At 37.4% G+C, this 14,795-nt stretch overlaps 1 protein-coding gene across 35 annotated transcripts in view, besides 1 other annotated feature; it reads right to left on the bottom strand.

Moving 5' to 3' along the window:
* Nucleotides 1–14,795, bottom strand: part of CCSER1 (coiled-coil serine rich protein 1) — a 1,477,902-nt gene that overhangs the window by 1,438,767 nt on the left and 24,340 nt on the right. The window lies entirely within an intron of this gene.
* Nucleotides 343–402: a silencer, noted in NCBI's record as "silent region_15572". NCBI's record gives its function as "represses an Ori minimal core promoter by ATAC-STARR-seq in GM12878 lymphoblastoid cells {active_cell/tissue: GM12878}" and the evidence as "EXISTENCE:reporter gene assay evidence [ECO:0000049][PMID:35858748]".

The raw sequence follows: 14,795 nt of genomic DNA, 5'->3' as shown, positions 1-14,795 counted from the left end.
TTTTTAAATGCTATAAGCTTTTAATAATATAAACAAAATACCTCCTTGAGGGTGCTATTTCCAAAAAAAATTATGTCAAGTATATGGTATACTGTCTTATCTAAGACCATGTACCTACTTTTTTACTCTATGTCACTATTTTAGTGTTGCTATTACACAACACTAAAGTATGCTCCTTATGATTGGGTTGTGCCCTGATAAACTCACCATTAAGTTGAAAATATCTAAGTTGGAAATGCATTTGATATATACAACCTTTAACCTAACATCCATAGAGCTTAGCCAAGCACACCTAAACATGCTCATTAGCCTACAGTTAGACAAAATTACCTAACACAAAGCCTCTTTTATAGTAACGTTTGAATAGCTCATGCAATTTATTAAATACTGTACTGAAAGTGGAAAACAATGGTTGTGTGGGTGTTCAAAGTATGGTTTCTACTCAGTTCGTATCACTTTCGCACCATCATAAAGTCGAAATATTGTTAAGTGAAACCATCTTAAGTTAGGGACCGTCTATAGTTGGAATATGAGTTATACATGTGAACTCATACATTAACTTCTATTCTTAAATTCCAGAAGACAACATCCCCAGCTTTAACCTAGTTTTCCCTAGAGATTTTATTACTGAAGTAATGATCCTCTGGTTTCACTCATTCCTGGTTTATCATCTCACCTTCCATATTACATTTCTGCTTTTTAAACACAGCTTGCCTCATACTTCACTGCAAAATTTTCAACCCCATCAATTCTCACCATGCAGATTTCCTCCCTGTGACAATTAGTCTTTTTAGGTTAAAACAACTCTCAGATTATTGTCCTATGCTTCCTTCTTAGTATGTATGACATGTGTATACCATTATCACAGAAACATGTAATTATAATCTATTTACACATCTGTCTTTTCCAATAGATAATATAATCCATGAAGTCAAAGAGAGTTCTTATTTATTGTTGTATCTATGAAAACTAACACACTGCCCAATAAGAGTAACAATTTAATGTTTGTTGAACAAATAAATGAAAGAGGATATAATGTCTTCTCCTTTCCAAGATGGTTTAATTCTAAGCCACCCTCAAAGGAATGACTCAGTAATAGGATAATACTAGTGTAGTTTCAAGAATTCCAATTGACACCACATTCCCCAAACTAAACATTTTGGGTATGCTCATCACCAAATCAGCAGTTACATTAAAATCCTTTTGAAGAACATGAATCAATTGTTTTCCTATTCTTTAGAGGATTTAGAACAGTTTTAGTAATATTTAAAGCACACAGTCCTTCATTTACTTCCAATGACAGGCATAACACCAGCTATTGTGTATAGTGAAACTTAATATTTGGCACAACTGGTATCAGAGAAGCTTCTATCAACTAATGAAGCATAAGCATTACACTAAGGTTAAAATTCTAGGTCTTCAAAAACAATGCCAAGTAGATCACAGGTTCAGCCTTAAGAGTTTAGGATTAGAATCCAGAAAAAGATAGAAATGTCATCAGTGATTTTCAACAAGTTCAAATCATGAAATATCTATATGTCTTTTTGATTTGGTAAAAACCACCATCAATACTCCTTTGTTCCTCATTATCCTGCCTTCTGGCCCATTTCTGTATGCTATCATATCCACAGAACACCAATCCAAGTCTAAAAGATTCAAAAAAAATTCAAAAACATTCAAGTTTTGTCAAAAGGTAGCAAAGTGTATTTGGGGAGAGTAGTCTATGGGTATGGGTGGGTGCTCACTATATACAGATTTCTATATAACAATGACCAAAATATCCAAAACACACTCTTTAGACAAAGTCTCATTCAACACAGTAGCTGCTTCACAATTTCTCTTTTCTCTCCCTTTCTGTAGGAAGTCTAGACAACTCTAATTTTCCTCTTCGCTTTATTTCTGGATCTGCTACTTTAGATTCTTTTTATGGATCTATTCTTTTTAATCCACCTTTAAAAATATTCAGTTAGCTGTGTGTCCTTTCTTATGTAACTCAATCTACTATCTGTGCTACTTCAGCATACCTATATATTATCCTGACTATCAAAAAAGATCTCAAAAGCCCAGCAACACAAGTACAGATTCTTTTTTGTCCAACAGCAGTTAAAGAAAAAATTACTATTCCTTAAACTTTAAAATGTTTGCGATTATCTTCATATCTTAAATAACTAAAAATAAATTTTGTTCTAAAATATAAATGTAACATCTAAAATCAATTCTGCGATAGACAAGTAACAGTAGAAGCCAAAATTTGAAGAAAAAAAAAAAAACCTTAAGAATGTAGGAAATTGTAGCTATTATTTTCCTTAATGATTTGAAAAAAAACCCTTATTAAATGTGTGACATGGCAGGCTTTCATGTAGGTTCTCATAAGCCACGGAATTTTGAGAACTATGAGGTTAAAAGAAGCAGTCATGATTTCCAGGGAGCCTGCTGTTGCCTGAAGCTGCACAACATCCTAAAGTGCTTGTCAACCCCTGACAAACATGACCCAAGACAGCAGCAAACACCCAGCTATAAAAACTGAAACAGAGTGCATCCAAATTCAACACTTGCCAAAAGGAGGTATCTAGCAGAAATGGCTAGAAAATTTATCTCAAAAGAAATGTTTCTCTTTTCAGTATGCCAAAGCCAACAAAGAAGGTATTTTTAGTGAATACACTCCTCCCAACCCCACTTCATTCCCACTTTATTACTACAAATCTAGAAAGTCAGCTGGTACAATGTCATTAATGTAGTACTTCCAACCTTCTTTGGGGAGCAAATCTGGAAAAAGTTAGAGCATTTATAATAATCTACACCTCATTTCCTTGACATCTTAGTGACCTTTGTAAAGTTAATCTCCTATCTCAGATCTCTTATTTTTAAATGAGAATAACAATAGAAAATACCTCTTGTCATTGTTGTGAATTAAATTAGATACTACATGTAAAAAAATCTAAAAATGTTTTAAGCACAAATCAAATAGTGAATCAGTGTGAATTAATAATAATAGGTAAAAAATGTGGGTTTATAACTCAAAGTAGTCTTTTTTCTCTCTACACTAACAGAATAAACTAACAAATTTCGTGATCAAAAGTAAAAATGTAAAAATTCCCATACTTTCTTCAGTTTGTAATGTGAATTTATAGCACATAGATGCACAAAGTAAACCAAATTCAAGGCCTAAAGAGCTAATTCTGACCTATTTAAGAATGGCGTTCTATTTCTACATAAGCTATCTGCTCCACTGCCAATATAGGTATTACGAAACATTTATTATCCCCACTTATTACATTAAAAGCACTCTGTCATATTTACCTGCCTTTAACAATGCAATGCTTAAATTTAGCATCATAAACTAACAATGTCAGAAAAACATAAACATATATGTATAAGAAAGCATAAATTTAAAGATTATTTTATTTGAATGTAAATAAAATAATGCTAAAATAAGTGACAAAAAAGTTGAAAATAATTATATGCATCTCTTCTTTCAAAATGTGTAAAAACATGATAAACTGAAACAAACACAGGAATAAAAATAATCTTGGAGTTGTGACATATGTGAATAATTTCCATGGTTTCTTACTCCCTGGACAAAGACACAAATTGTTTTATACTATTCAATTAGGTGGTTGTCTAGTGACCTAAAATATTAACACGCTTATCTAAGTCACTGTTTCTAACAGACTCTAATCCACCATGTTTATATTCAAGTACTGAATATTGTAACTTCAATTGATAAGAATCCCACAAGGCTATCTCCATAAACCATAGAAGAAAAAAATGAATTTTTTTTGGTCACAGGTCAAAAGGTACCAACCACATCTCTGCAGCACCCTGCAGCTTCTGAATTAATTTAGCTTATTTATGACTCATTGGACTCTTCTTGTCACTGTTCAAGTGACTTTCCACCACTGTTAGGGTTTTGATGTCTTAACTTTTTTTTTAGACTTCTATAATACTGTTTAGGATACTGCTACGCTCATTTAAAAAAGGATAAGTTTTAAAAATTATTTTCTAATTGAAAAACACTTAATCCATTATGTTACGTTAACTTTTACATACAGTGGGATAAGTACAAGCATTAAGACTAATTTTTATATACTTATTTGGTGAAAATGTCATTATGTCATTATCAGATACAGAAATGATACAGGAGGAAGGCATCTGAGTACATTATATGAGTTCTGCTATCATAATTATTAAATATTGATAAAACATTAGCATTTATTGTGATCAGAGCATGTAAAACACATAAATGTCAATATTTCAGTTAGGAACAGCCTACAGGGAAGCAAGTTAATAAAGGGAAGGCTTTCTGCTTCACACTCAGAAGGAAATGGGTAATAGTCTGTGAGGGGATATGTCAAAATGAGCTTCCTGAGGCAAAAAGAACATAAGCCTGAGAGAAACTGGTTCATACTTTGTACACCTAAACCTTTCACCAACTTATCCCTTTGCCACCTTACCACACTCCACCTTCCAAAATACCATAGCTTTTTGTTTGTTTTTACTTTCTGAGCCAGAAGAATAGACTTGATATGGACACAGATAGAGCCTTACTTTCCAATGCAACATTTGTCTACTTGCTTGAAAAACTGTGTTTTACAAAAGGTAGCACTTTATTTTCACAGTGAAGTAGATAGCTTGTAGAGAAAAAGAACACCTTTTAGCTCTCTAGGTCTTGAATTTGGTTTACTTTGTGCATCTATCTGCTATAATTGCACTTTCTAAACTGAAAAAAATATGAGAATTTTTACATTTTTACTTTTGATCAAGGAATTTGTTAGTTCATTCTATTAGTGCACAGAGAAATAAAGACTTCAAGTTTTAAACCCACGTTTTACCTATTATTATTAATTCACACTGATTCAATATTTGCTTGTGCTTAAAACTTTTTTAGATTTTTATATATACTATCTAATTCAATTCACAATGACAAGAGTTATTTTCTATAATTATTCTCATTTAAACATTCTCATTAAAAAAAGAGATCTGAGATAGATTACCTTTACAAAGGTCAAGTTAATGGTTAATAGTTTTAAAGTGATTATCATAATTTTGTTTAAATTAATTATAACAAAATGCCAACAGCTAATACATCAACAATATGTAAATTCTATATTTCATTTTCGTCATCTGCAACATGTGCATAAAAATAATATCCAAATCATATGGCAGGTGAGAATAATAAGTGATTATGTGTAAGACATTAGAACAGTACCTGAAACAGAATTAGTGCTAAATAAGTGTTAACTGTTTTTTTAAACTGACTACACAATCTGTTCTTATTTTGCATGAAGGTGAATACTGTGTACTTGGAAGAATCCAACCAAAGATCATCAGCAAGAAAAATAAGCACATAGGATGAGCAAACATATAAGAGAAAATTTAGACTTCACAAGTTTACATACAGTAAGTCCACCTGTCTCCTTACACTCACTTAGGATACAACATTACAGGTTACATTTCTATCAGGCATCTATATAGGTGGGTAGTTTTATTTGGCCTTGTTTCTCTTTTAGGTAGCTTATCTTTTTGGCAGCTGGATTTAAATTTTAATAATCTTATCTTCTAGGAAATTGATTCTTAGGATATGTGTGGTATTTGGCAAAAATATCACACAAAATCATGCTGATGACTTAGACATACACTTGGCTGAGAGTACTGAGATTATCCATGAGATTTTCCCAATTTCACTTTATTCCTGTTTTTTTGCTAATCTTCATTAATTTCACTTTTTCTTTAGTGCTTCCTATGTGCAGTTAACTCTTCCTCTAGAGGTCTACATTCTATTGTTTCCCATAGCTTCCAATATCAGGCTTCATTGCATAGTTTATCTACCTCATGATTCTTCAAGATTACCCTCTCCAGTGGAATCTCTCTCCAAATATAAATAGCATCTATTCATGAGCCCTATTTCCTGTGCCTTCTACAACTGCCATTTGATTAAAAACTAGGCTCCTAAGAGGCCTCCAATGACCTGCTAGTTACCAAGCCTAATGGGCTTTTCTTGTAACACCAGAGAATTTAGCCATCTTCTTTGTTTTGAAAACTCTCATCTCTACTGCATTCTTTGTCACTGAAATCTCCTGATAGTCCTCCTACTTTCATGGTTGCTCAATCTTATTATTTGGCACCCAGATTCTGACTGTAGTCATCTTCTCTTCATCTCTAATCTCTCTCATAAACAGAGCCCAAACACGTGATTTCAATTCCCAACTTAATGTACATAAGTGTGACATCTAAATCATCAGCCAGTTTAGCCCTGACCTCCAGACAGACTGTCAGTGTCACATTTCCAGTTTCCAAGCACAACTGTCTCCAGTCTACTCCCTCTCCTCCACCAAGCCAACACACCCTCTTAAGGACTGTTTTGAAGAGAGCAATGTGCACTGGTTGAGTGCAACAACTACTATGGAGTTAAATCCTGCTCTGCCCCCAACAAGCTGTGTAATCTCTGCAAGTTACATAACCTCTTCAAGTGTAAATTTTCCAATCTGTAAAATGAGAATAACACCACTACCTAATAGGATGATTATTAAAAGCACAGTATATAATATATGCAAATTGCTTGACAGTGAAAAGTCATGTTGTAAGTATTTGATAACATTAGGTACTATGATTTTAATTATACTTATCAATGAAATATTATTAATAAGAGTAAAAATGGCTTGGCATAATGCCTGAAATAAAACAATCCTCAATAAATGTTAGGCACTATTTACTATTATGGCAAAATATGTCAATCTGTATGTCAAGTAGGGAGGTAACTATATTAAAATGAACAGAATACTGACCACCTGAGTCAAAAGAACTAGACACGAAAACTAGGTCTGAAATGTAAAACAATGTAAATAGAGTAGGTCACTACATTCTGTGAATATTAAATCATTTACCTGCAAGATAAAAAGCTTTGAAAAATCGAATTCCAAAGGGCTTATACTCAATAGATCCATGGAGAACTAATTTGGTATATCCAAATATTGACTCATCTCTCTTTACCCCTAATTTTTCCATATTGTGTGTTCTCTCTCTAGTAAGGAAACAACTGTCTTCCTAGACACCAAAGTTAGACATTCACAGACTGCTTCTATTCCTCTTCCCCATGTCAGAATATGACCTCACCATTCATCGAGGTACTGAAGCCAAAAATCATGATTCAACTGCAATATATTTTTTTATAAAACCTGGCAATGGGCCAGGCATGGTGGTTCATGCCTTTAATCCCAGTGCTTTAGGAGGCTGAGGAGGGAAGATTGCTTGAGGCTGGGAGTTTGAGAGCAGCCTGGGTAACACAGTGAGGCTCCATTTCTCAAGTAATAATAATAATAATAATAAAATTAACCAGTCACGGTGGCATAGGCCTACAGTCCTAGTTACTAAAGAGGCTGAGGTAGGAGGACCACTTGAGCTCAGGAGTTTGAGGCTGCAGGGAGCTATGATTGTACCACTACACTCCAACCTCAGTGACTCAGTGAGACCACATCTCTTAAAACCTAGGACTGACAGGGAGGTCGGAGCCAAGATGGCCGAATAGGAACAGCGCCGGTCTACAGCTCCCAGTGTGAGTGAAGCAGAAGACGGGTGATTTCTGCATTTCCATCTGAGGTACTGGGTTCATCTCACTGCGGAGTGCCAGATAGTGGGCGCAGGACAGTGGGTGCAGCACACCCTGCGCGAGCCGAAGCAGGGTGAGGCATTGCCTCACTCAGGAAGCACAAGGGGTCAGGGAGTTCCCTTTCCTAGTCAAAGAAAGGGGTGACAGACAGCACCTGGAAAATCGGGTCAGTCCCACCCTAATTCTGCGCTTTTCTGACAGGCTTAAAAAACGGCGCAGCAGTAGATTATATCCCGCACCTGGCTCAGAGGGTCCTACGCCCACGGAGTCTCACTGATTGCTAGCACAGCAGTCTGAGATCAAACTGCAAGGCGGCAGCCAGGCTGGGGAGGGGAGCCCGCCATTGCCCAGGCTTGCTTAGGTAAACAAAGCAGCCAGGAAGCTCCAACTGGGTGGAGCCCACCACAGCTCAAGGAGGCCTGCCTGCCTCTGTAGGCTCCACCTCTGGGGGCAGGGCACACAAAAACAAAAAGACAGCAGTAACCTCTGCAGACTTAAATGTCCCTGTCTGACAGCTTTGAGGAGAGCAGTGGTTCTCCCAGCACGCAGCTGGAGATCTGAGAACGGGCAGACGGCCTCCTCAAGTGGGTCCCTGACCCCTGACCCCCGAGCAGCCTAACTGGGAGGCACCCCCCAGTAGGGGTAGACTGACACCTCACACGACCAGGTACTCCTCTGAGACAAAACTTCCAGAGGAACGATCAGACAGCAGCATTTGCGGTTCACGAAAATCCGCTGTTTATGCAGCCACCACGGCTGGTACCCAGGCAAACAGGGTCTGGAGTGGACCTCTAGCAAACTCCAACAGATCTGCAGCTGAGGGTCCTGTCTGTTAGAAGGGAAACTAACAAACAGAAAGGACATCCACACCAAAAACCCATCTGTACATCACCATCATCAAAGACCAAAAGTAGATAAAACCACAAAGATGGGGGAAAAACCGAGCAGAAAAACTGGAAACTCTAAAAAGCAGAGCGCCTCTCCTCCTCCAAAGGAACATAGTTCCTCACCAGCAACGGAACAAAGCTGGACGGAGAATGACTTTGACGAGTTGAGAGAAGAAGGGTTCAGACAATCAAACTACTCCGAGCTACAGGAGGAAATTCAAACCAAAGGCAAAGAAGTTAAAAACTTCGAAAAAAATTTAGATGAATGTATAACTAGAATAACCAATACAGAGAAGTGCTTAAAGGAGCTGATGGAGCTGAAAGCCAAGGCTCAAGAACTACGTGAAGAATGCAGAAGCCTCAGGAGCCGATGCAATCAACTGGAAGAAAGGGTATCAGTGATGGAAGATGAAATGAATGAAATGAAGCGAGAAGGGAAATTTAGAGAAAAAAGAATAAAAAGAAACGAACAAAGCCTCCAAGAAATATGGGACTATGTGAAAACACCAAATCTACGTCTGATTGGTGTATCTGAAAGTGACGGGGAGAATGGAACCAAGTTAGAAAACACTCTTCAGGATATTATCCAGGAGAACTTCCCCAATCTAGCAAGGCAGGCCAACATTCAGAATCAGAAAATACAGAGAATGCCACAAAGCTACTACTCGAGAAGAGCAACTCCAAGACACATAATTGTCAGATTCACCAAAGTTGAAATGAAGGAAAAAATGTTAAGGGCAGCCAGAGAGAAAGGTCGGGTTACTCACAAAGGGAAGCCCATCAGACTGACAGCGGATCTCTCAGCAGAAACTCTACAAGCCAGAAGAGAGTGGGGGCCAATATTCAACATTCTTAAAGAAAAGAATTTTCAACCCAGAATTTCATATCCAGCCAAACTAAGTTTCATAAGTGAGGGAGAAATAAAATACTTTACAGACAAGCAAATGCTGAGAGATTTTGTCACCACCAGGACTGCCCTAAAAGAGCTCCTGAAGGAAGCACTAAACATGGAAAGGAACAACAGGTACCAGCCACTGCAAAATCATGCCAAATTGTAAAAACCATCGAGGCTAGGAAGAAACTGCATGAACTAACGAGCAAAATAACCAGCTAACATCATAATGACAGGATCGAATTCACACATAACAATATTAACTTTAAATGTAACTGGACTAAATGTTCCAATTAAAAGACACAGACTGGCAAATTGGATAAAGAGTCAAGACCCATCAGTGTGCTGTATTCAGGAAACCCATCTCATGTGCAGAGACACACATAGGCTCAAAATAAAAGGATAGAGGAAGATCTACCAAGCAAATGGAAAACAAAAAAAGGCAGGGGTTGCAATCCCAGTCTCGGATAAAACAGACTTTAAACCAACAAAGATCAAAAGAGATAAAGAAGGCCATTACATAATGGTAAAGGGATCAATTCAACAAGAAGAGCTAACTATCCTAAATATATATGCACCCAATACAGGAGCACCCAGATTCATAAAGCAAGTCCTCAGTGACCTACAAAGAGACTTAGACTCCCAAACATTAATAATGGGAGACTTTAACGCCCCACTGTCAACATTAGACAGATCAACGAGACAGAAAGTTAACAACGATACACAGGAATTGAACTCAGCTCTGCACGAAGTGGACCTAATAGAAATCTACAGACCTCTCCACCCCAAATCAACAGAATACACATTTTTTTCAGCACCACACCATACCTATTCCAAAATTGACCACATACTTGGAAGTAAAACTCTCCTCAGCAAATGTAAAAGAACAGAAATTATAACAAACTGTCTCTCAGACCACAGTGCAATCAAACTAGAACTCAGGATTAAGAAACTCACCCAAAACTGCTCAATTACATGGAAACTGAACAACCTGCTCCTGAATGACTACTGGGTACATAACGAAATGAAGGCAGAAATAAAGATGTTCTTTGAAACCAATGAGAACAAAGACACAACACACCAGAATCTCTGGGACACATTCAAAGCAGTGTGTAGAGGGAAATTTATAGCACTAAATGCCCACAAGAGGAAGCAGGAAAGATCCAAAATTGACACCCTAACATCACAATTAAAAGAACTAGAAAAGCAAGAGCAAACACATTCAAAAGCTAGCAGAAGGCAAGAAATAACTAAAATCAGAGCAGAACTGAAGGAAATAGAGACACAAAAAACCCTTCAAAAAATTAATGAATCCAGGAGCTGGTTTTTTGAAAGGATCAACAAAATTGATAGACCGCTAGCAAGACTAATAAAGAAGAAAAAAGAGAAGAATCAAATAAACGCAATAAAAAATGATAAAGGGGATACGATCCCACAGAAATACAAACTACCATCAGAGAATACTATGAACACCTCTATGCAAATAAACTAGAAAATCTAGAAGAAATGGATAAATTCCTTGACACATACACCCTCCCAAGACTAAACCAGGAAGAAGTTGAATCTCTGAATAGACCAATAACAGGATCTGAAATTGTGGCAATAATCAATACCTTACCAACCAAAAAGAGTCCAGGACCAGATGGATTCACAGCTGAATTCTACCAGAGGTACAAGGAGGAACTGGTACCATTCCTTCTGAAACTATTCCAATCAACAGAAAAAGAGGGAATCCTCCCTAACTCATTTTATGAGGCCAGCATCATCCTGATAGCAAAGCCGGGCAGAGACACAACCAAAAAAGACAATTTTAGACCAATATCCTTGATGAACATTGATGCAAAAATCCTCAATAAAATACTGGCAAACTGAATCCAACAGCACATCAAAAAGCTTATCCACCATGATCAAGTGGGTTCATCCCTGGGATGCAAGGATGGTTCAATATACGCAAATCAATAAATGTAATCCAGCGTATAAACAGAACCAAAGACAAAAACCACATGATTATCTCAATAGATGCGGAAAAGGCCTTTGACAAAATTCAACAACCCTTCATGCTAAAAACTGTCAATAAATTAGGTATTGATGGGATGTATCTCAAAATAATAAGAGCTATCTATGACAAACCCACAGCCAATATCATACTGAATGGGCAAAAACTGAAAGCATTCCCTTTGAAAACTGGCACAAGACAAGGATGCCCTCTCTCACCACTCCTATTCAACATAGTGTTGGAAGTTCTGGCCAGGGCAATTAGGCAGGAGAAGGAAATAAAGGGTATTCAGTTAGGAAAAGAGGAAGTCAAATTGTCCCTGTTTGCAGATGACATGATTGTATATCTAGAAAACCCCATTGTCTCAGCCCAAAATCTCCTTAAGCTGATAAGCAACTTCAGCAAAGTCTCAGGATACAAAATCAATGTACAAAAATCACAAGCATTCTTATACACCAATAACAGACAAACAGAGAGCCAAATCATGAGTGAACTCCCATTCACAATTGCTTCAAAGAGAATAAAATACCTAGGAATCCAACTTACAAGGGATGTGAAGGACCTCTTCAAGGAGAACTACAAACCACTGCTCAAGGAAATAAAAGAGGATACAAACAAATGGAAGAACATTCCATGCTCATGGGTAGGAAGAATCAATATCGTGAACATGGCCATACTGCCCAAGGTAATTTATAGATTCAATGCCATCCCCATCAAGCTACCAATGACTTTCTTCACAGAATTCAAAAAAACTACTTAAAAGTTCATATGGAACCAAAAAAGAGCCCGCATCGCCACGTCAATCCTAAGCCAAAAGAACAAAGCTGGAGGCGTCACGCTACCTGACTTCAAACTATACTACAAGGCTACAGTAACCAAAACAGCATGGTACTGGTACCAAAACAGAGATATAGATCAATGGAACAGAACAGAGCCCTCAGAAATCTACGCCGCATATCTAAAACTATCTGATCTTTGACAAACCTGAGAAAAACAAGCAATGGGGAAAGGATTCCCTATTTAATAAATGGTGCTAGGAAAACTGGCTAGCCATATGTAGAAAGCTGAAACTGGATCCCTTCCTTACACCTTATACAAAAATTAAGTCAAGGTGGATTAAAGACTTAAACGTTAGACCTAAAACCTTAAAAACCCTAGAAGAAAACCTAGGCAGTACCATTCAGGACAGAGGCATGGGCAAGGACTTCATGTCTAAAACACCAAAAGCAATGGCAACAAAAGCCAAAATTGACAAATGGGATCTAATTAAAGAGCTTCTGCACAGCAAAAGAAACTACCATCAGAGTGAATAGGCAACCTACAAAATGGGAGAAAATTTTCGCAACCTACTCATCTGACAAACGGCTAATATCCAGAATCTACAATGAACTCAAACAAATTTACAAGAAAAAAATAAACCCATCAAAAAGTGGGTGAAGGATATGAACAGACACTTCTCAAAAGAAGACATTTATGCAGCCAAAAACCGCATGAAAAAATGCTCACCATCACTGGCCATCAGAGAAATGCAAATCAAAACCACAATGAGATACCATCTCACACCAGTTAGAATGGCAATCATTAAAAAGTCAGGAAACAACAGGTGCTGGAGAGGATGTGGAGAAATAGGAACACTTTGACACTGTTGGTGGGACTGTAAGCTAGTTCAACCATTGTGGAAGTCAGTGTGGCGATTCCTCAGGGATCTAGAACTAGAAATACCATTTGACCCAGCCATCCCATTACTGGGTATATACCCAAAGGACTGTAAATCATGCTGCTATAAAGACACATGCACATGTATGTTTATTGCGGCACTATTCACAATAGCAAAGACTTGGAACCAACCCAAATGTCCAACAATGATAGACTGGATTAAGAAAATGTGGCAATATACTCCATGGAATACTATGCAGCCACAAAAAAATGATGAGTTCATGTCCTTTGTAGGGACATGGATGAAATTGGAAATCATCATTCTCAGTAAACTATCTCAAGAACAAAATACCAAACACCGCATATTCTCACTCATAGGTGGGAATTGAACAATGAGAACACATGGACGCAGGAAGGGGAACATCACACTCTGGGGACTGTGGTGGGGTGGGGGGAGGGGGGAGGGATAGCATTAGGAGATATACCTAATGCTAAATGACGAGTTAATGGGTGCAGCACAGCAGCATGGCACATGTATACATATGTAACTAACCTGCACATTGTGCACATGTACCCTAAAACTCAAAGTATAATAATAAAAAATAAAATTAAAAAAAAAAAAACCTAGCACTGACAAATACAAATCTTAAAAGCAACTCTGAGCATGCTGGTCTACTGCTCAAAAGCTTAAGCACCTCCCATCATCTACAGAATATCCCAAATTTCACTGCCTAGCTTTCAAGGTATTCTACCATCTGATCCAATTTACTCTTTTGATGTTATTTCCAATAACTTCCCTTTGGGCACTCTCTATCTCAGCCAAACTGCAATAATCAGTGCTCTCTACACACACGTTACATTTTCCTTCCTTCACATGTTCACATAATCCACTGTGCTTGAATAACCTTCCTCAAATGTGAATGTCTAAATCACACTCCACTGGACATTGTAGGCTGCCTACTCAGGATCCATTCTCCCTTTCCCATCCCCAACAGTACACATAAGCTCACTGTAATATCCCAAAATTCTCCATCATGCAGCTGAATACTCAGGGAAAATCAAGCCCCATTTTCAGCTCCAGGGATGAACCTTGGCTCACTTAGGCCAGTATGCCCATTCCTTCATCCTGGCCTCAGGTTAAGGGCAAATTTTTAACCTACACACACCAATCAAGGTAGCTCTCAGAACACTTTCTTGAAATACTGGGTCAGTGTCTCTTCTGGAGATTGTGGTGCACAGTTGTGAGTTTCAGAACTCACTCCTGCCACCCTCCTACTAGTCAGGGAAAAGATCTCAGGTGATAGAGCAGAGAGAGATAAAGCAGAGGCTCTAATGAACTGTGTCTGTGCTCACCCTTTTAGTGACACAAGCTAAGAAATCCCCTGTGTTGTTTAAGATACTTTGATTTGGGTTACTTGCAGTCAAAAACATTTTAAAATGATATGCATACACAGACTTAAGGACCAAATTCTAATATAACTTATTCAGTGGTGATTCCTTTACTTAATAGAGCTGGAGATAATCTCTTCTTTTTTTATATTCACTTTATAGTGTTTATATTCTACCTATTTAATGCATTAGCATCTATAGTACATTTATCATAGCTACTTCCTTAGACTGCAAGCCCTTTAATGCCAGATCCATGTCTAACTCATCTTGTTATCTTTCACTGTGTAAATGTAAATACAAATTTACATTGTAAAGATTGAAAAAATAATTGTTTAATACTAAATAACTGAGTGCTTAAATAACTGAACA

This window comes from Homo sapiens, chromosome 4 (genome assembly GCF_000001405.40).
Source record: "Homo sapiens chromosome 4, GRCh38.p14 Primary Assembly".
Taxonomy (NCBI): domain Eukaryota; kingdom Metazoa; phylum Chordata; class Mammalia; order Primates; family Hominidae; genus Homo; species Homo sapiens.
Note: the sequence above shows the minus strand (reverse complement) of the source record. Positions and strands in the feature narration are given on the sequence as shown.